We start from the raw sequence: 22,281 nt of genomic DNA, 5'->3' as shown, positions 1-22,281 counted from the left end.
TCCAAAAGAGGCAATAAAAGGTTTTAGTCAGTAGAAAGAACAGTCTTCTCAGTGAGATAGGGCCACACTGTTCTCTCTCATTCTTCACTAAGGGCTCCTTCCTGGGTGTGTCAGACATATAGCTGGTTCTGACTCACTCACAACCTATCGTTTTCTTTTTTCTCTGACCATTGCCCTCATCAAAGTGCCCCCAAACAAACAATTTGGATCAGCCTCTTTATGAGTCCAGAATGACTGCCCTGCTATGGACAGCCTTAGCTAGCATTTCTTAACAAGGAAAAATAAGAGGCCATTAGGATGTTCCCAACAGACAGATTTCTCGTTCCTTCCAGGGCATTCTCCTCTTCTTTGCTTTCCTTAATTCCAGAGTGAGGAGTCGGTCTCCTCTTTCCCACGCGTGCTCACTCAGGCCTCTCCCAAGTCTGTGAGCACAGCCTGCAAACACCTGTACACAGCCTTCTGCATGCCACAGTCACTTCTCACTACAGCTGCCTGACAAACCCTGCTTGTTTTGCATCTGCTAAGTATTTCCTTATGGAGCTGAAGATTCCCAGAAGAAAACATTTGGAATCCAGAGGGAATCAAATATAAACTCCTGACGTGAAGGCCCAGGAGTAAGTAGCAGAGGCTGCAAACAAAATGTTTTAACCCAGGACCAAGGGGGCTTGGAAAATGTGGCAAATGTCCTCCGAATGGCTATTTGTGAACTCTCAGAGTACATATCAGCTGGTTGGAGCCTATAATAATTGGGTTATCCACTGTATTGAAATTTGCTTTATAAACAAAATTTAACAGGGCCATAGAACACAATGGGACCTTCCCTCAGATTTAAGCTCAATATTCCAGAATTCTCTGCCACCTAAGAGGCAACTTGGTTGAATCTTACTGACCTTTGTAAACACTCACTCCTTACCTGGTGGTTGAGCCAGAAGCTGGGAATTTCTGGTCGCCCTCGATCTCTCAACACGTTGTCCTTCATGCTTTCGACACAGGGGTGCTCCCGCACCTTGGAACCAAATGGAGGCTCATAATCTTTTACTTCTGTGAAGAAAGCCAGCAAACACAGGGTCACTGAGAATGGCATGTGCAGCCAAAGGAAATGAGCATGGTGAGATGCCTGGCTGGGGAGCATGAAGCACTAAGTAACAAATACATACGTAATTACTCTAAGAGCAAATTTTAATAATAATGGCTAAGATAAGAAGGAAGGAGTGGTTGGGGAAGGGCTAGAGAAGTATTCAATAAATGATTGTTGAGTACTTAAAATGTGCTAGGTGTTACGCTGGGGGACACAGTGGACAACAAGATAGAGAGGGTCACGGAGCTTAGGTTTTAACACAGGCATTTTCTACAGGGGGATATTGCAGCAAAAGGGTGAAACTGGTTCTTGGGAAGTGGAAAAATCTTATGTATTACAATGGTTTGTGAGCCTCCAAAGGCCCAGAGTATACAAAGAGATTTAAAATGTGGTATTAAATTTCATGTAGGTATTGAGGCATAAAAAGGAATGAAACTCTGGCACATGCTACAACATGGATGAATCTTGAAGACATTATGCTAAGTGAAATAAGCCAGACACAAAAGGACAAATATTGTATCATTCCACTTGTATGAAGTACCTTGTACAGGTATATTCAGAGACAGTATAATGGTGGTTGTCCAGGGGGCAACCTGGGAGGAAAGGGTACGAAAAGTTATCCTTTAAGGGGTAAAGAATTTCAGTTGAGCAAATTTCAGTACAGAAAAATGAATAATGGTGATGGTTGTAGAGCACTGCGAAGGTACTTAATGCCAGTAAACTGTACACTTAAAAATGGTTAAGATGGTACATTTTATATTATGCCTATTTTGCTACAGAAAAACATCATGGAGAGTAGTGTTTAGAAAAAAAGTTGTCTACAGGCCAGGTGCTGTGGCTCATGTGTGTAATCCCAGCACTTTAGGAGGCTGAAGGAGGATATCTTGACTCCGGGAGTTTGAGACCAACCTGGGCAACATAGCGAGATCCTCTATCTATACAAAATAAAAAACAAAACAAGCAAACAAAAAAAGTTGTTTAAAAAGGCTCCTTACGATATCACTGATTTTAAAAAAGGTTGAGAAATGCTGTTTTAGTGGGAAGACAGAGGGGACAGATTAACAACATCAACAAAATTTTAAAACGATAATTTTCCTCTGATGGTATATTCAATAAAGAAAATGATAAAGGAGGAGGTAACCCTTCACCGGGGCCTCAGGCTTCAACTAAGGTCAAATTCTTTATAAAAACTTCCTTGAACATCCTTAGGGTCAATCTTGGTTAGATATCCTGGGCAGGGCTCTATTCGTGCATATACCATATTTTATTTAATATATTCACCTGCTTATTTTTCTCACCTAACTGGACTGTGAGCATTTGGGTGCAAGTTGAGTCCCTTTCTCATTCTTGTATTCTTGGTGCCAATTGCAAGGGTCTCCCATGCCAACAGGCTGTCAACAAATGCTTTGTTGAGTGAGTGAATGAATGAATGAATGAATGAATCTTAGATTCTCTCCAAAGTGGCAGTGCATAAACTCTGGCCAAACATTAAAACAAAACACCAATTTAAATGAGCAGATTAATATAGTGTAAACAGAGCACAGGACACTTAAAAAGATAGAAAACATCCCAGTACTAAAACATGCCTGGGCTGAAAGGAGAGATTGGGCTGGATTCAACACTGTTCTCCAAAGTAAGTAGGATCTTTGGCCTTTAGCTTCAAAATAATCTTATTTAATGAGTAAAACTTTCAATACATTTGCACTTCTAGGTAACGAATTGAAGAAGCTTTCATGGCAAGATGACATTTTGAAAAGGGACGGCTTGTTTTTGTTCTTTGTTCATTTGCTTTTTTCCCCTTTTCCAGAACTCTACTTGAATATTTATCTTTTTCAGCTTCACCAAATAGTAGAGCTGCCAGGATATTTTCTTTTTTATAGTTTTAAATACAGGGGAATTTGGGATGAAGGCCTCCCATCACATTAAGACAAACCACAAACTATCCTCCTGTGTGTCATGCTTTTTGCCTCAAAGGACCCAAGCATTTAATCCACATTGCTCTTGGGTGAGATCTGAATTGTGATTTGCATAGCATTTATACTCTTATTTTTTTCTTTCATTCCTTATCTTCAACCAGACTGTAAATGCCTAAGGCACAAGGCAGTGGCTGAATTTGGTGTCTTTCACTTATCTGCTCAGTGCCTAAAATCGTGCCTTATACGTAGTAAGAATTTAATAAATATGAGTTCGGTTGAATTCAAGCAAAAGAGAAAACTGAGAATCAGATCTGGTTCCCAGTAAGTGTTTACTCTCATGTACTTCTTCTCTTCTATAAAATGAATATACTGAACTGAGCTACCTCCATGTTCCTCTTCAGATTTATCTTGTAATCCAATCTAATCAAATATGATGCCCCCTTGGTACCATACCTTGAGATATATGTACTACCATATAATAGTAAAGGATAGGATTTGTATATGATATAAATTGTTCCTTAGATAAGGTACAGTCCACAGACCTTCCATCTTCAATTGTTTTGGCTTATGTAGCAGCTGCAGTTGGTGCCTGCCAAGGTCCCCTTGACCAAGCTAGGGCCAGCAGCCTACAGCTGCCACAGGTGTTGGCTCATAAGGGCTCACACCTTCACCCTTTTCTGGGGGATTGTCCTTGGCCAATGGGAGTTGCCTATCCTAGAGATTCGTGGACATGACCGCCTTACTCTCAGAGGCAGCGTATAGCCGATGACAAATTAATGTTGAAGTTTAACAGTCCAATTCTCTTGGCTCTTGGTGGGTAACTATGGTGCAATTCACACTCTCCAGAGCTTCCAGTGAGATCAAGCTGAGGTTAGACCTCTCTTGAAATACAAGTTCACTTAACTCCTTCCATGCCTCTTCCTGCTTCTCTTACTTCCTTCTCATGAGAGCTTATCCTCAATAAATCATTGCACAAAAGTGTGTCAGACTCCACTTCTAGTAAAGCTGGCCCAACACAGCCGCCAAGGAAGTGCTTTCTCCTCTCTCCCTAGGCCTTTGTCTCAGTGAATCTGCACAATCTGACTGTAGCTGCAAAGCTACCCTGGGGAAGCCTTGATGTAGCCCCTTCTTGTGAAGGTGAAATTACTAAACCAGGAAGAACATTCTGAATCTCACATTGTATTACCGTTACTCTGATGAAACTCCTTTACCTTTCTAGAAAGCTTTCATGCTTTTTCCTTTCTACCAAGCATTTCAGAGAGTTCTTTCTCCTCTGACTATCAACAACAATCCCTATACTCATGGTCAGAAGTGACAGAGGAGGACATGACCAACATCAGAGGAGGAAAATGTTGGGATCAGAATAAACCCCAGCTGTCAATCTCATGGCTGATAGTCCTTGAGAACAAAGACAAAGTCTTTGTCCTTGAGACTATAAACGCAGAGCCAATTCATTCCAAGTCCTAATCTTCCTAGTTACAAACACTACACAATTTATTGTAATTTTTTTTATAGGTACTCTGTGGATCAAAGCAAGTTTCCATGGGGAATGAGAGAAGATGGCATTGGGCATATTTTTACTTAAAGAAAAATTAATGAATGCTATTTTAGAAAGGAAGACAAAGGCAATAATCCCTTCCCAAAACAAACAGACTTATAAATAGGTTACTTCCTACTTTTCCTAAAATCTTGGAAAGTTGTGAGACTCCCTAATATTCCCAAGGGATACAAGGCCTGCTTCCCATCTTCGACTTATGGGTAATTTCACAAGGAAGGGAGGTCACGGGTAGTCTGAAAGGTGCTGGCAAAAGGACTGGCTCCTTGTGCCCCACTGGGAGAATTTATGACTCTTCTGCCTCCTCCTAAGCTTAAAATAGACAAGTCTGGGGAGGGAGGATCATCATTTGACCTAAACTGTCATACTCTAATCCTTTAATATTAGTTTTTCAGATTAGGAGTACGGATGGGGATCTGCAGTGTGTGCATGATTTAGGCTGACCTTTCTTTAACTTCTGAAAAATGTCCTATTTATGTAACATAGATTTTCCAAAACAGCTAAATGCATGTTTGCTTTTTTCTTTCTAATTATGGATTTTTGCAATTCTTCTTTCTTTACCCTTCTCTCTCATTTTGGACATCCTACTCCCAACCTCCATTTTTTTTTTTCTCATGCCCTGCAATGTGTAGGAAGATGGTTTAATGTTTGGCAGTGTGTATACATGTGCCTCTCAGTTAACATCTTTGATATTCAATTGCAGCGATCAGGCAACATTGCTCATTTTTCCTACTATGGCCATTAAGGCAATGCCATTCTCAGGGCCTCCATTAGGACTTGTAGGATGACCATGTAACATGGAGGCCAGTCCCTCCTGGAGGGCATTTCTTAATTGCTCCTCAGTTCTAAGTGTCCCTCAGAATGCCTCAGATATTTGCTTTGACTCAGCAGAAGAAGGGAAGATCGTGGCCAGAGATAGCCTGAACCCTGCGAGAGGAGGTTAGAAAGCAGAAAGCCCTCTGCCAGCCAGGTGGGTACCAATGGTCGTTCCTAGGATGAGACCTCATGTAACAGAGCCCAGGCAGTCCTGGGGAACTGGACAGAGCTGGTGATTGGCAACAAGTTGATGGCCTGAGACCTTTGACACTCCCAACTTTTTCCCCAGGGTTTCAGGCAGCTGGAGACTGGGATGTTTAATCCACTTTGGCAAAATCTTTGGGTCCAAACTGTGTATCTTATTTATTTTTCATGATGGTGCTTAAAATATTTTTATTTTGGAAAATGCATGTGATTAAAACTATGAAATGACTAAACAAATATGTATAAAGAAATGTAAATCTCTCCCCAACTCCTAACCACTGTTTCTTTCACAAAAGTGGCTTAGGTGGAATAGTGAGATTAAAAGTGATTAAAATTTTTCCCTTATTACTTGCAAATGAGCACTTCTCAATCAATTTTTTATAAAAGCCCAGATGTTTTGCCCTCAATTCATTGGGAATAAAGGCTTTGGTAAAATACAGTAGAAATGAATTACAAGAAAAATGAATCCCACTTGAGTGTTGTGGCAACATCAAACTGCTATTAAAGGCACAAAACACATCTTGGTTTCTGTCCTTATATTGCAAATCTGTAACAGAGAGTTTGAGGACCAGCACCTGCCAAAGACCACACTTGGAGCAACATTGCCCTAAATGCTTCTTAAGGAATGTGAGATGCATTTTGACACAGGAAAAAAGAGCACAAGTTATTAAACATATTTTAAGGGTTTCAAATGAGTCAGACAAAGAATATTGAAAAGGTCTTCAGAGACGGGATCCAACATCCTCATTTTACAGTTGAGAAAACTGAGGCCCAAATAGTACACTGGATTCCAGGAAGAGCATTTAGAATTGTGCACTTTATTACTGTTACTCTGAAGAAATTTGCCTTTGCCTTTTTAGGAAGCTTTCATGCTTGCTCATCTCTGCCAAGCATTGCAGAGATTTCTCCCCTAACCAGAGCAAGTACAGCTGGGGCAGTCCCTGGTATGAACATGCCCTTCCCAAATGTGACAAGTGTGTCCCTCCCTGCCTTGATGGGGCCCTCCTCAGCATACAACCTTGAGAAGGGGAACCTTATGGGATCTGCTGGGTGGTTGTTATTTGTAATTTCTAAGCCAGCTATGCAAAAAAACAATTACAAAGAGCAGCCCTCTCCTTAGCTGGTATTATTTACCCACATTAAACCCAAACACTTGTCCTTTCTGGGTTTAGGGAAGTAGATGTGACTGGTGGTGGAGGTGAGGTAAGGATGAGAATCTCATTTTAGCTACAGGCATCAGATTGGGGCATAGTTGGCAATAGAATTAATGCAGTTCCTCTTTGCACATTTGATCAAATGATGCTTGACCTTGGGCCTCTCTCTTGTGAAGAACTGCATAAAAAGCAAGTTCAGGAGTGTGTGGGCTGAGTCCAGAGAAAATGTTACACCTGGCTAACCTATAACAAGAACCACCTTTTTAAAAAAAATTGGAATTGCCTCTAAGAGAAAAAGCGAAGGCTTAGAGAGTATGACTGAGTTTAGCACTTCAAAAGTGGAAGAGCTAACAATATGCATTGTAAGTATTATTTGTTGTTTTTGCCCTGACTCCTTTAAAAAGTAGATATGAGGACTTAGAAAAGAGATGCCAAGAGTTTGTGCCTCACTTCCTATATCCACAAAATAAGAATAGTCACATATGCCCCCTACAATTATTCAGTGTGATGCTGCAGGGCCAGCTGCACCGCCACCTCCCAACCCCATTGCACTGGCTCTTCCGGTTAGGCTGGCCCAACTCCAGGAGGAACAGGCAGAAGGGCTGGAGTGAACCCTCCCAGCTCGGCCTGGAGCAGCCCTCCAGCAAACTGATGGGAATTGGAAAGATAAAACACCCAGCTTCCTTTGAGTCAGGTGGTATGACACTGAGGTGTGTGTTCTGCTCGTAGTTATACTCCAGTTGCCCATGGTGGTAACCCACTTGATAAGATATCCTTTACTGGTTTCCTTCCCTTTCCTGACTCATTTCCTCATTCTCTTACTGGCATTTCCTGCAATCTCTTCCCAAATAAACTACTAGTACTCAAATTCTTGTTCCAGGGTTGGAGGCACTCCACCCAAGACATATGCCTACACAGCAGAATTAGTTCATCAAACCAAGTCTTTGTCTCACCCTCAGACTGTTTCTGAAGCCAGACAGACGGGGCTGAACACCTCAGAATTTCCCTGAGTGCCTCAAACGGCATCTTTTCTAAAAAACCTCTTTATTTCACTGCTTGAGAACGACTTTCTCTTACTTCCATCTCCCTCCCGCCACCTCTCTCTGCAGTCTTTTCACTGATGGAAGCCACCCGCAACCGCCCGGCCCTCGCAGCTTCTTTTAATTTGTCTCAAAAGGCTCTTAAGAGAAAACTACGCTTGCCTGTCTCTTCCCAGTTCCACAACCCTCAGAGGGCAGGTCTCTGGGACAGCAATGGTATTCCTCGGAAAGTCAGCATCTGGTGCACAGCTGCTGTTTTGACTGTAGTCCCAATGTAACAGGGCAGCAAAGTTGTTGATGGTTTTCCCCAAAGCAGTACCCCCGAGTTTTCATATCTGCTTTCCAGACTGTGCTCCCTTGAAATCCAGGAAAATGAAGCGTTTCAATCCTGGTCTCTCCTCAGCCGTCTCTCCAACGCCTCCTTTTTTTCTGTCTCTTTCTTCCCCCAGCCCCTTCCCTTTCTTTTTGGTTCATTTGCACTTTTTTTTTTTTTTTTTTTTTCATCTCACAAGGCTGCAGCAACTTGACAATACACTAAGGAGCCCTTCTTGGAGTTGTGTTGCTCCTCATTAAATACTTGTTCAGCTGGCTGCTACGTGTCAGCTTCTATTCAAAGGCCTAAATGCTAGGGATGTGGAAGTCAGTGTGCTTGCAGGCCAGTTTGGCTGGGGATGACGAGAGTATTTTGCCTGCTGTGTTCACCAAAGGGGGCCCTGAACAGGACCGCCTTCACCCGCCTTCACCCGCCTTCCACACAACACACAAACACTTGTATGAACACCAAACAGACTGAAAGCCTGGGACAGAGATTTCTTTGTAAAAGAGAAGCCATCTCCAGTTCTGTCCTTGCTGAATGGCGATTTCATGAAGCTTTTTCTCCTTTTTCGTAGAACAGTAACACACCAATCACCTCCTCTTGTCTTGTTCTTACTTCAAACAATTCTGAAAGATTTGTTTTCTTTTTTTTTTCTTTTGTATTCTTTCAGAGGATTAAAATGTCTGAAATGACAGCCTCTTTCATTATCTATCCCCCAAGTCTATTTTTCTTTCTAAAATCATCCCACCCACCCCACCCAACTCCAACATTATATTACATAATCTCTTTGTTCATTACCTGTCCCTAAAATACTGGCTCTTCACTAGACTTCCTGTCTCTCAAAGAAAGACACTGCTTTTTAAACTGCTGTATCCCTGGCATTTTAAACAATGCCTGCGACACAATAGGTACTCAATAAATACTTTTTGAGTGAATGAATGAATAAATATATCTTTAGGGAAATAAAGATAAAACAGTTATCTCAAATTTTAAGGTATCAATACTGTGACCTGCTACACAAATTAACAGCCTTGGATTCTGTTAACAGGGATTCACCCAGAGAAGTGAGGCCATCACTGAATGTTCCTCAAACATGTGATTGTCTCCTCAGCTTCTGCTGGAAGGCTTCATATCTACTGCCAGGATGCACAGAGTAGCTCTGACTATCGTATCCATACTGATCATAGGAATCATAGCTACTATTTTTTTTGGGGGGCGGGGGGGATGGAGTCTCGCTCTGTCGCCCAGGCTAGAGTGCAGTGGCACGATCTCAGCTCACTGCAACCTCCGCCTCCCGGGTTCAAGCAATTCTCTGCCTCAGCCTCTTGAGTAGCTGCGATTACAGGCACCCGCCACCATGCCTGGCTAATATTTTAATTTTTAGTAGAGATGGCATTTCACCATCTTGGCCAGGCTGGTCTTAAACTCCTGACCTCATGATCTGCCTTCCTCAGCATCCCAAAGTGCTGGGATTACAGGCGTGAGCCTGTACCTGTACATGGCCATAGCTACTATTTTAAATACGTTCTCCATTGGCCAGGCTAGCAGTATACCAGGAATACTAAGGCCTGTGAGCTACAGAGTCAGACAACAGGGCTTTGATTCCTGGCTCCACAACTTTCGCACTTCCTGAGCCTTCAGTTCTCTTATTGTAAAATGGGATTAATAACAGTACAGGCCTCAAAGAGTTTTGGTAGATTAAATGAGTTGATGTGTGGAGCAAGTGCTTAAGAAGTGGTAATTATTCCTTTATGGCTTTCTTTATCTGGACCAAATGTACTTTCAATAAGAAGCCTTTCTCTCTGACCACTCTCTTCACCTAACTGCAACACATCTCCCGAGGCCCCTGGTGGAATTTTGTGCGAAATGAAGCTGTACCACCTGGCTTTTGAAGAGCTCTATTATCATCTGTTTATGTTTTCTCACCTGATAAAAGTGAGGCTTCTCCAGTGTAGTGCTGTTCTTTCTCTGTTTTCCCTGTGCTCCCCTGCATTCAGGGGAGACTGGCTAGTAAAGAAGTAACTCAGAAGGATGCCCCAGAGTCTTCCTCTTCCTTTAAGAGCTGACCTAAGTCTCATTCCCTGACCATAACACTGCACTCCCTGTAGCCAACCTGGGCATTCAGTCCTTTGAGCTCACTGCCTTCCCTTCCTAAGCATTTATCACAACTGAACCACACTTGCCTGTTAAAAACAGACTAGTTAAGTGTTCCAGTGCCAGTAAATAGCATGAGACAAAGCCTGGAGGTAAGACCTAAAAGACATCCATCATGATGAAGTGATGAACACAGAATGAGAATGTGGCGTGGAGGTGAGCTTGGAGCCTTAATATCCATGTTTATGAGTCACTTAAAGGCAGGCTAGGTGGGACTTCACAGTTTTCTGTGAAATCTTCTGTCCCTAATCCTTGTATCCTACTTCATTCAGTTAGACCTTCTGCTGCTTAGAACATTTTTCTTCAAGTAGTGAGTACTGTAATGTTAACATCCAAGAAAGTAAAACAAATAGTCACCTCTGCAATAGCTCATTAACAACTGGGAACAGAGAGGTTAATGTTCCATAGCTTAAAAAAGTATCAATACAACTAGGGACTCTCTCAGTACAGGATGGGGTGCTATATCCATATTACCAATGGCAGTCATCCCGAGAAATCCAAGCAGCCACACTTACTCTCCTTCAGTGGGTAGATCCACTATACTTGTCATGTAGATTAGCTGTTTTCACTGGAGACTTGCATCCCATCATCCTTCTGCACACAGTTGAGGTGGACCATACCTCTTTTTTTTTTTTTTTTTTTTTTAGACGCAGTCTTGCTCTGTCGCCCAGGCTGGAGAACAGTGGCATGATCTTGGCTCACTGCAAGCTCTGCCTCCCGGGTTCACACCATTCTCTGGCCTCAGCCTCCTGAGTAGCTGGGACTACAGGCGCCTGCTGCCACGCCCGGCTAATTTTTTTGTATTTTTAGTAGAGACGGGGTTTCACCATGTTAGCCAGGATGGTCTCGATCTCCTGACCTCATGATCCACCCGCCTCGGCTTCCCAAAGTGTTGGGATTACAGGCGTGAGCCACCGCGCCCGGCAGGACCATACCTCTTGAGCAGGCTTCTCTGCAGGTGCTTGGTAGCTGGCTCGATGGGTCAGATCATAAGCCTTTCATGTCACAGAAGTGGCCCTGATCCATGATCCCACAAGCACACAGACTCAGAGCCTACAGAGAAGATGACTCTGGAGATCTGGTTCCCTTTACTGTCCATCTATGATTCATCATACAAAGGTAAGCACATTCCACATTTCCTTTTTTGAAATAAGACTGCTGATTTTAAAAAAATGGTAATTACATCTGCTATACTGCAAACTGCAGAAGTTCAAGCTTAAGGAAAGACCTTTTACATCCTTCCCTCTTCCTTATACCTTAAAATTAAAGTCTAACATCAAACAGGGGGATTCATTATTTAATTTGTAAGATAAGAAACATATCTGCATGTGTAAGTTTTTTAAAAAGAAGGGAGAGGAAACAAACAACTGTTTCCTGTAGACTACAAGCTTCTTGAGGTCAAAACCTGTCCTTCCATCTGTGTTTCTACAAAAGCTACAGCAGGGACAACATCAAGATGAATGCAGTTGGAGGGAATCCATCTGTCTTCAGGCTTCGTGTACTTTCCAAAGGACCTTTTGAATGTAAAAGAAAAGCCTCTGAAACTAAGACTAGGCTGAAAATCTGTCTTTAAGGTTTTTGAGACATGCCAAAAAGAAACAAACAAAAACCACTAATGCTTTTAAAAGAAGAAGTCAAGGTGGGAGAAGGAGCTTACTACGTGAGTTCACACGCTTAATCAAGTGAACGGCTTTGTGTCAGGACGAACGTGAGGATGGATAAATAACCTTGGTGTCTGCAGCCCGAGCAAAGATGGGAGAAATAGGACTGTGGGCTTAAGATCAAACGAAATGAGAACTGGGATGGCCTCTTTCCGGTTCCCCAGGGCTGTCTCTTCTTATCCTAAGGTTATAAAAGGTTTTTTGAGACTAGCTGAATAAACCATATCCTGTTCCTTCCTTGGGAAAACTTGTTTATATTCTAACTGTTTTTAGACCTTGTAAAATTTGGTGAACTCCTTCCTCATTAGCTTAAATTCTTCCACACTCAGCAAATATCAACAGGCAAGGGTTTTAGTCAGTGATAACAATGAAAGCTGGGAGCTCACCTAGGGCCTTAATAAGCTGGCTGCACTGACAGAGGGAAAGACAGAGACACAATCTCCAGCTCATGTTTATAGAATAACAGAGTTGAAAGGATAGGGAATGATACTGAAATCTAGGTAAATTTATTCTGACAGTGACAACAGCATTGTCTCTGATACAACTCATACCCGGCTAAAGATTCATTTTGGAACTGTCAAAGCTTTCAAGCATAAAATTATTCTCAGTGGCTGAAACTTGGTTAAACAAATTTCACTGTGCAAGGAAAAACAAAGTTAACTTTTGGAAGTGTTTTGGGGGAAGAAATCTCAGTCAAGAAACTAGATAATAATAACTATGTCAGCTAGATAGGAAGTGCCATCCCCATGCGGGGGTCTCAGGAAAACATGTGAGGTTCAGCAGGGTGCAGGATGGGAGGGGGTGACCCGGACCCACGCTGGAGAATTGGCTATGCATATTCTGAACAGGATGAAGAATCAGAGCCAGCAGTGGTGCCAACTGAATCTGCCTTGGGCAAAATGTTGGGTAGTTTGGACCAGTGACCCAAGCTGTGGCAACCTGAGCAACAAAATAAATAATGACAATACTGGATACTCATATAATGAAACAAATACCCCAAATCCCCTGCTGATATAAATACATAATTAGTAAACAAAGAACAGGGGATGGTGTCAGAAGAGACAGATCTTTTTTAAAGGAGAATGCATATTAATAAATATAGAAGGAACAAGAAAAACAGAAAATCTTCCTTAAGTAAACATTATAGTAATAATTGTTATAGGCAGGAATTAGTCATAGATCATCAAATTAGTGGGTAAATGATGAATAAGAAAGTTCTAGTACCTTTGCTAAACAGGTATTTAGTATCTTTAGAAACAGGTCAAAGGCATGTATTACTTACAAATGGACAAATAGCAGCAGGTCCCACTTTAACCAAAGGACCAAATTTAACATTAATAACCAGACACATGGACATCTTATTCCCCCTGATATGACGCACTGAAGATAGGCACACTATCATTTCTGTGGTAATTTTGCCCAAAATATGTAATCTCAATCTAATCATGAGAAAACATTAGTGAAACCCAAAGTGAGAGACCGTCTAAATAACTGTCTTAAACTTTTTACAAGTGTCAAGGTCATAAAAGACAAAAATCGACTGAGGAACTCTCACAAGGTCAAGGAGACTAAGGAGGCATGCACATTAGATCAATGCGGGATCCTAGACTGGATCCTGTTTCAGAAAAGAACATTACTGGGGACTTGGAAGTACAAATACGTATATGGATTAATTAAGAACACTGAATCCAGGTTAATTTGCTGTTTTTGATAGCCATACTATGGTTTAGGTTAGATATTAACAACAGGCAAAGTTGAGTTAAGAGTATACAGAAACTCCACTATTTTTACAACTATTTTCTAAGTCTAAAATTATCACAAAACAAAAAGTTAAACATGGAATGGAGGCTGGGTGCAGTGGCTCACGCCTGTAATCCCAGCACTTTGGGAGGCCGAGGTGGGCAGATCATGAGGTCAAGAGTTCGATATCAGCCTGATCAACACGGTGTAACCCTGTCTCTACTAAAAATACAAATATTAGCTGAGCGTGGTGGTGCATGTCTGTAATCTCAGCTACTCAAGAGGCTGAGCTAGGAGAATTGCTTGAACCCGGGAGGCAGAGGTTGCAGTCAGCCGAGATTGCGCCATTGCACTCCAGCCTGGGTGACAGAGCGAGACTGTCTCAAAAAAAAAAAAAGGGTGGAGTTAGTTTGGCTTCATTTGGCAGCCAACCAGGATGAACTTGGGTGCACAGATTTCTCAGGTGAGACCTAAGACCCTGTCTCACCTAAGAAATAAGAAGGACATGAATAGAAACACATAGTGGACAGGAGACAGCGAAAGGCAGTTCTAGTTCAATGAGAGCTTGCGTTGGGCTGCTTTCATTGGACAAGCATGCCAGAATTCTATTGCTTTATGTGTCATGCATCTGTCCTCCAAGGTACTGAGAAGAGAGTCAGGAAAGGGTATAGTAATGTAGACCTCAACTGTTCTTGCCTTCTGGACAACAAGGGATAATACTTCCTAGAACAATAGCCTCACCCTGGCACCCCAGATGTTTGTTGCCCATTCTATCTACAGTCTCATGGTCAATAGTAGTAACAGCCTCTAACAGTGAAAAGGACTCAGCATACAACTGCAGAGAAGACATAGCAGAGGGCACCTGGGAGGCTATGACAGTGTGTTCAGGGAAAAATGATCCTAAAAGAAAAAAAAAACAGTAGGTGGCTGAACTTGGGGATAAAAAGAGCAAGCCAGCTTTTCAGGAGAAAAGTAGGTCTCCTAATCAGTCTTGCAGGCTTAAGCAGTAAGAAGACGGCCTTCCTCAATAACCTCTTCACTAGAATTTTCAAAACCTAAACAAATATCTCAAACAATGATTTTTTTTTTGCCCAATAAAACAATGTCATGTCCATAAAAGTAAATTTTGAATCAAATCTTTTTCCCAGACATAATTCTGAAAAATCTTAAAACACAAAGTAAAAGAAATCAGATGCTTATCTGAATATTACCCACATGATCATTAGAGATAATTCTTATACATTTATTAGTATTCGTCTCTTGCCAGATATTTAAATAACTGTGAAGAGATGTGTCAAGAGAAGAGTAATTATACAAAGGTTTATAAAAGGAGATACAAAGCTTTATGCTCCAAATGTGGCTTTCAGTTTAAAAACCTAGGCTGTTTAGCATAACCCCAAATAGTTCTGGGATGGTTGTATAATATCAGATCTCAACTAGCTCTAATAACTGCTTTGTAACCCCTGGAATAATGCTCGAAGCAACACATGATCTTATTTTGAAGACAAGTTTACCACTACACAATGATGCTGGTCCACACCTACCTCCCACTGCATTACAGCGAGATGTCATTTCCCAGAGCACCAGAGCCATGGAGTAGACATCGGTCTGCTTGAAGGACTCAACATTCTCCAAATTCATCCTGGATTCTAGGACTTCTGGAGCCATGTATCTTGCAGTTCCCACCTATAGCAAAAACAGACAGTGAGGCCCATCATTTAATTCCAGCTGCCTTTTTATTTTCACAATATAGCTGATGGTGGCCCCTGACACGTGCAGAGGATTTTTTTAAAAAATCAAAGTGCTGTTTTAAAGAATGAGAAATGCACAGAAAGGTACAGATAGATGGTTATTTTTTAAAATAGATGTTCTCTCCCTGAAAACCCTCTAAAGACCATAAACAAAGCATGCCAAAATAAGGAAGTGCCAAACCCCAGAGCTGCCTTATCTAACCCCATGACTTATGTCATCACATTTTTCAATAACATCCTTACAGATAACCTGAGAGACAATATTTGTGATATTTTAAATGTTTATTTTTGCTTTCCAAAATTGAATTTTTTTTTATTCCTGAAACTCCAAGACTTATGGTAAAAATAATAATTGCTATCAGTTTTGATCACTTTAGGACTGAGTCTTAATCTTTGTTTATCCCATGGCACATTCCAGTGTGCAAAGGATATAGTACAATTGCATAACATCTCTACTAAATTAAATTGTATAAAAGCATTTTCACAGTAAAAGACCAAATCTGGATCACTTTATAATTTTAACTTGTGGGCCATGTAGTTTTATTTTGACTTTTAGGCCTGTGCTAATCTCTATGACTGATAATATGCAAACGTCGGATCCATATGAAAAAGGAAAAAAATATTCCAGAGAATGGCTCACTTAAATATTTAGTGTTGTAGTATGTATAAACTGACTAAATAACAATAAAGTCCTACCTTCCCAAGGATCTAGGGAAGCCAAGTGAGTTGATATTATCATTCCAAGGAATGTTTCTTATTGGCATGTATTAGAGAGTTTTTTTCTTCTCAAGAGGTCATTGCATGGCTCATTACTCTGGCACATTAGTCTGTCCATATTTCGATGTTTACCTCAACACTGCGTGCGCTGCCATGGACACAGGGCTGACTGAGCAGTAACCGAGTGCTTCAAAGTGTGTCCTGCCACCTGGCTAAAGAAGACAGTGCTGCTCTCCATGGACTCCACTGTGTGAAAACACTGGGCTCATCATTTATAAGGGATGTTGTGGTGATTTCCAATCACCTTCCAATAGTTTCTTAGCCAAAAACATTTCCATTTTAATCTGTGAGAGTGCTTCAAGAGTGGAAGTGCTCACTCAGTCGACAAGTACTTATTTTACTTTCAATGTTCAAGGCATTGTGCTACATATCTTGGGTGACCATGTGGATGTAGATTTGGACTTCAGGGAGATTGCCTTCCACGATGCTTTTAATACAAAGAAACCAACACAACTACAGCTAGTATAGAGCAGAAAGGACTGAGTACAACCATAAGAGAGGGAAAAAATAGAGGTAAAGTACTAACAGTGCTTGAAACAAAGAAAAAACATTTGCTGGAAGAGAAATGAGGATTGATCCAGGAGGAAAAAATGTGCTGAACTGGGAAGGATTTGAAGATAGGAGGAGAAATGCTGTCCATTAGCAAAAATGCTCAGGCAGGACAGAGCAGAGTATGCTCAAGGCAGACTCCATACTTTGGCTAGATTCCCTAGACCAGTGTCCAGAGTACAGGGCTGTTTGAGATAAGAGCCAGGAGATATGGATCAAGAGGTAGGGTGAGGCCAGGCTCAAGGTAAAGGGGATCTAGCACTAGCTCTAACTTACCTGCCCACTGTTAGCCAGGTCATCCACAGACAGAGTAGGGTCCAGACGCAGGGAAAGCCCAAAGTCACACAGGCAGCAGGTTAGGTCGTTCTTCACGAGGATATTGGAGCTCTTGAGGTCCCTGTGCACGATGGGCATCTTGGGCCTCCCACATGGAGTGTGATCACTGTGGAGGTGAGCAATCCCCCGGGCGAGGGAGCTGCCCAGCTTGCGCAGGTCCTCCCAGCTGATGACATGCCGCGTCAGGTACTCCTGTAGGTTGCCCTTGGCGTGGAAGGCGGTGATCAGCCAGTATTGTTTCCCCAACTCCGTCTTCCGCTCCTCAGCCGTCAGGAACTGGAGTATGTTCTCATGCTTCAGATTGATGTCTGAGAAGATGTCCTTCTCTGTCTTCCAAGAGGCATACTCCTCATAGGGAAAGATCTTGACTGCCACTGTCTCAAACTGCTCTGAAGTGTTCTGCTTCAGCTTGGCCTTATAGACCTCAGCAAAGCGACCTTTCCCCACCAGGGTGTCCAGCTCAATGGGCAGCAGCTCTGTGTTGTGGTTGATGTTGTTGGCACACGTGGAGCTGATGTCAGAGCGGTCATCTTCCAGGATGATGGCACAGTGCTCGCTGAACTCCATGAGCTTCCGCGTCTTGCCGGTTTCCCAGGTTGAACTCAGCTTCTGCTGCCGGTTAACGCGGTAGCAGTAGAAGATGATGATGACAGATATGGCAACTCCCAGTGGTGGCAGGAGGCTGATGCCTGTCACTTGAAATATGACTAGCAACAAGTCAGGATTGCTGGTGTTATATTCTGATGGGGAAACAAAACAAGGAGAGAAGGAGTTGGATGTGGTAGGTAAGTACTGTCAGGAAGTGGGTTCATGCCTGAGCATCTATAGATTTTAGCATCTGCATAGTTTTTGTAGATACGATATTGTTAATTTTTATTTCAGGGATGCAAGTGCATGCTCGTTCAGCCTTCCCTGCCTCTGGCCATCTGTTCGTCATCCCCTGCTCTTCCTTCAAACTTCAGCTTAAATGTCACTGCTTAAGAGAGGCCTAGAAAAACTTGGAAAACTGTCTTATTTTATACATTTTCATAGCACCTTATACTTTTCCTAGGTAACAATTCAGTACAACTTAAACTAAATGAACTATGACTCTACCTCTTGATTTCACATCTGTCTTTCCCTACTCTTGCCATCCCCCACGGACAGGGAACTCCATGCTGGAAGGTACCATGTCTTCTTCACTACTGTAAACTGCACTTAGCACACAGCAGGTCCTCAATATTGCCAAATAAAAAGACAAACCATTTACTGAGTGTTATCTAAGCTCAGGACATTGGGAACATGAAAAAAAATGACACAGCTTCTGCCTTCAAAAAATCTGCATGTATGACATCTGGTAAAAACACAGAGCGTGCCACAGTTTGCACCAAAATCTTTGCTCTTTTTCAAACTCCAACTTGTTCTGCTCTGATCAGCATTCAGGCTACCCTGGGCCCATGGGTGACAGGGAGAGGAGTCCATGGAAAGGATCTCTTTGGACAGTTATCTTACATCCACCCAACATTCCTCTTTTCAGTGTGCATACGAATTGTAGTTTCATGGAACTGAAATATTTAATAGCAACAATGGAAACATGGCCGCAAAGGTAAAACAAGTTAAAAATGGAAATGCTGCAGTTTTTTGACTTGGAATTCTGAAGCAGGCCCCTGTGGGCTGACAAGGAGAGTCCTTAGCACCAGATATCTAACTATAATATCTTGTGCCTCAAACTTTGTTTCATGTGCTGGCCTTGTTGGCTCTGGTGAAATAGTTTTCCTTTTTGGAAGAAGGACATGAATAGAAACAGACAGTGGACAGGAGAGAGCAAAAGGCAGCTCTAGTTCACTGGGAGCTTGTGCTGGGCTGCTTTCATTGGGCAAACATGCAGAATTCTATTGCTTTATGTGTCATCCATCTGCCCTCCAAAGTACCCATTAATGAGCAGGCCTCATGCTCAGATCCTAGAATCATTCATTAAATATATCACTACTGAGTGTCTATGATGGGCATGGCACTGCCCTCAGAGAGTACCCAGTAGAGGACTTAGGGCATATATACAAGTAAGCAATATATGGCATCTGGGATAGGGGCTAAATGTACAATGTAATCTATATATTAGTGGAATGTGGAAAAGCTTAGAGAAACATGGAAGGCACAGTAGCAAAAAACTGCCTTTAAGTTGGTCTCTGAAGAATGGGAAAAGTCAGTGATGAGTGGAAAGAGTGCTATGTTAAGGAGAAAGAATATATGATCTACTTAAGGAAGAGCAATTATCCCATACTGACCACTCTGCACCTGCGGAATAGAAAGGAAAAAAATGGGTAGGTGGTATGGAACCAAACTCCGTGTCAGAAAAGGATCTTTTGATTATTCATTTGTCAGTTTTCACCTACAGTAGGTGTTTAAAGAGAAAAAAAAAAGTGATGAGAATATAGTCCAGGTAGAATGAGGATATAACCAAATTCTCTCAAGGGGAACCCATTACCTAAATGATACTGATAAAGGAGTTAAGAAGAAATTACTTGGGCAGATAGTAAGGGTATGGAAGTCCTCGGTAAGGTGTTTCTTTTTAATGAAAAGCAGCCCCAAATCATTTTCTAACAAAGAGCAGCCTGTAAAGTTGAGCTTCAGACATAGACAGGCAAGCTGGGAGCTTGCACGGGTGAATGCCAGCAGGAACTAAGGACATGTTCAAGATGGCAGCTCCATCTTCCCTTCTCTTTGTCAGCCATGTGTACAACAAAGAACAGACCAGATGGTGCTGATCAACTGGAAAGCCCATTTGCATAATAAGATTAGGGTGGGGTGACCAGTCTTCCCCATGCACTATGTAAACGTCATACCTGATTGAACCAATCTGTGAGCCCTATGTAAATCAGACACCGCCTCTTCAAACGGGACTATAAAATCCAGCACATTCACCACTGGCCCGTCCTTTCCGCTTGGAGACTCCTTTCTCTACAGAGAGAATTGTTTCTCTTTCTCTTCTCTTCTGCCTATTAAACCTCCACTCCTAAACTCCTCATGTGTGTTCATATCCTAAATTTTCCTGGCTCATGATGATGAACCCCAGGTTATATACCCCAGTCTACATAGCTACTTCAGCATCTGATACTTTCTTTTTTTTTTCTCGAGATGGAGTCTTGCTCTGTTACCCAGGCAGCAGTGCAATGGCACGATCTCTGCTCACTGCAACCTTGCCTCCTGGGTTCAAGCCATTCTCCTGCCTTAGCCTCTATGCCCAGCTTTTTTTTTTTTTTTTTTTTTTTTTTTTTTTGTATTTTTAGTGGAGACGGGGTTTCACCATGTTGGCCAGGCTGGTCTTGAACTCCTGACCTTGTGATCTGCCCGCCTTGGCCTCCAAAAGTGCTGGGATTACAGGCGTGAGCCACTGCGCTTGGCCCAGCATCTGAAACTTTCATCTAACGAAACAGTGAGAAATGAAGCTGGTACATATCCATTTTTAAGGTTTATGTGTAATATGATTACTTGTTCTTAAGGTAAGTCTGAGTGGAAATGCCAACTTCCACTGACTATATATTCTAGATGAAAATCTTGGGTCTAGTAACCAGAGAAGTAACCCCAAGATATCAGAATTCCAGCAACCAAGAGGGAAAAAAAAAATCACCATTTTTTGGAAAGATATATGAATGCATTTTAAAAGTATAGGGAAAGTGAGAAAATTTGGTGATTGATCCTTAAAAACATAAATTCTTACACTGGGAGGCTTGGATTGGGACAAAGAACAGGCAAGAGTAGGGCAGAAATGGGGTGGGACAAAGCAATTACAGAATGATTGAATGCAAAAGAAAAAAAAGATGCTCTTGTGGAGATGTATGGACTGTCCCTGTTGTACAGCAAACAAAATTAAGGGGGCAGATGAACACAACACAAATTCAAACACAACAGCCGATCCAGCAGTCGGCATTTCCACTTAGGCTTACCACTTCCACAATGCTCCCTGCCTGAAACTCCACCTCTATTATATGTGGTATCCAATGAATGTGTTTGCTTGAAGTACCCACTTGTCTCCGGTCTCTGTGTCTGTAACTACATGGAATGTCTTATAATCAGAAATCCACTTGATTATCTGATTGCTTCTCTCCTGACAAAGCAGGGTAGTGGCCAGGTCTGTTTTGATCATCATGATATACACAGCACCTGGGGCAGAATGGGGCAATTTATGGTATTCAACAAACGTTTGTTTTAGAAGCTGAATGATTACTTACGTGGAATGATACTTCTCAAATTTTTTATATTTTACAGCAAGGTTTGACAAACTATGGCTCAGAAGTCCATGGCCTGCTTTTGTATAGTCCTATGACCTAAGAATGATTTCCATCCCCATTTTTAAAGAGTTGTTTAAAAAACAATAAAACTAAGAGGTTCATGCAACAGAGATCTTATCTGGCCCAGAAAGCCTAAAATATTTACTATCTGGCCCTTCACAGAAAAACTTTGCTGACCCCTGTTCTAGAGGTGTTATTTTAATAACCTCATTGGCAGAATCTGGAGAGACTTCACTTTGGCCAAATGTGAATATGTAGTCAATTTTTTTTCACATATGAGAAATACAATTTGAAAAAATTTAAATATTAACTGCATAATTACTTAGCTTTGTCCTTAATTCACTAAAACGTCCAGATGAAATGTTGATTCATCATGGATAATTTTATTTTACAATTCCTAAATATCTATAAAAACAGTCGTATTTGCTAATTTCAATTCCTTTTTAGCCTAAAGGAAACACAAAAACAGAAATCCCCTTAAGTTTATGTGTGGCACTGACTGAAGAAGATTCTAGAAATCCCCAGTTCAATGTCAGAAACCAAAGTTTTACTTTCTCCTAAAATTTCCTGTTATTTCTTTAGAAGACTTACACTTAAAAAATTTGAGGGGGAGGAATTCTTGAATAACATCTGTCAATCTTGAAACTTCAAAGAGGTGGTGAAAAACTCTAACAATAGCAACCAGGGCTGGAAGGAAGCTTTGGGATGTGGCTTTATCTAAACAGGAGCCACCCACACCCTCTGGCAGTATTAACCCTTGGGTTGCTACTAGAAAACCCAACAGCTGTTGGTGTAGGTACAAGCCAGCATCTCCTTTAGTCGAAGACCAACAGGAAATGCTTCTTTTCATCAGCCGCCAGTTACAGAGAAACTCATAAACTGAACACTTACTAAGTTCCTGGCTGTGTGCTAAGGATTTTATAGAATATTTAAATTTAATTGATAGAAAAACCCTATGAGGTAGAA

General features: G+C 41.7%; 1 protein-coding gene across 16 annotated transcripts in view; it reads right to left on the bottom strand.

Moving 5' to 3' along the window:
* The window catches only part of TGFBR2 (transforming growth factor beta receptor 2), an 87,787-nt gene that overhangs the window by 4,718 nt on the left and 60,788 nt on the right, over positions 1-22,281 (bottom strand). For 14 of the 16 annotated variants that reach the window (NM_001407129.1, NM_001407132.1, NM_001407136.1 and 11 more), the window contains 3 exons: positions 16,988-17,787; positions 15,179-15,320; positions 914-1,041 (listed from right to left, as the gene is read on the bottom strand). In NM_001407129.1, coding sequence (NP_001394058.1) covers positions 914-1,041; positions 15,179-15,320; positions 16,988-17,787 — 1,070 coding nt within the window. The remainder of the gene's footprint in view (positions 1-913; positions 1,042-15,178; positions 15,321-16,987; positions 17,788-22,281) is intronic. The other 2 variants (NM_001407130.1, NM_001407139.1) reach the window with 2 other exon arrangements.

This window comes from Homo sapiens, chromosome 3, assembly GCF_000001405.40.
Source record: "Homo sapiens chromosome 3, GRCh38.p14 Primary Assembly".
In the NCBI taxonomy this organism is placed as follows: Eukaryota; Metazoa; Chordata; class Mammalia; order Primates; family Hominidae; genus Homo; species Homo sapiens.
Note: the sequence above shows the minus strand (reverse complement) of the source record. Positions and strands in the feature narration are given on the sequence as shown.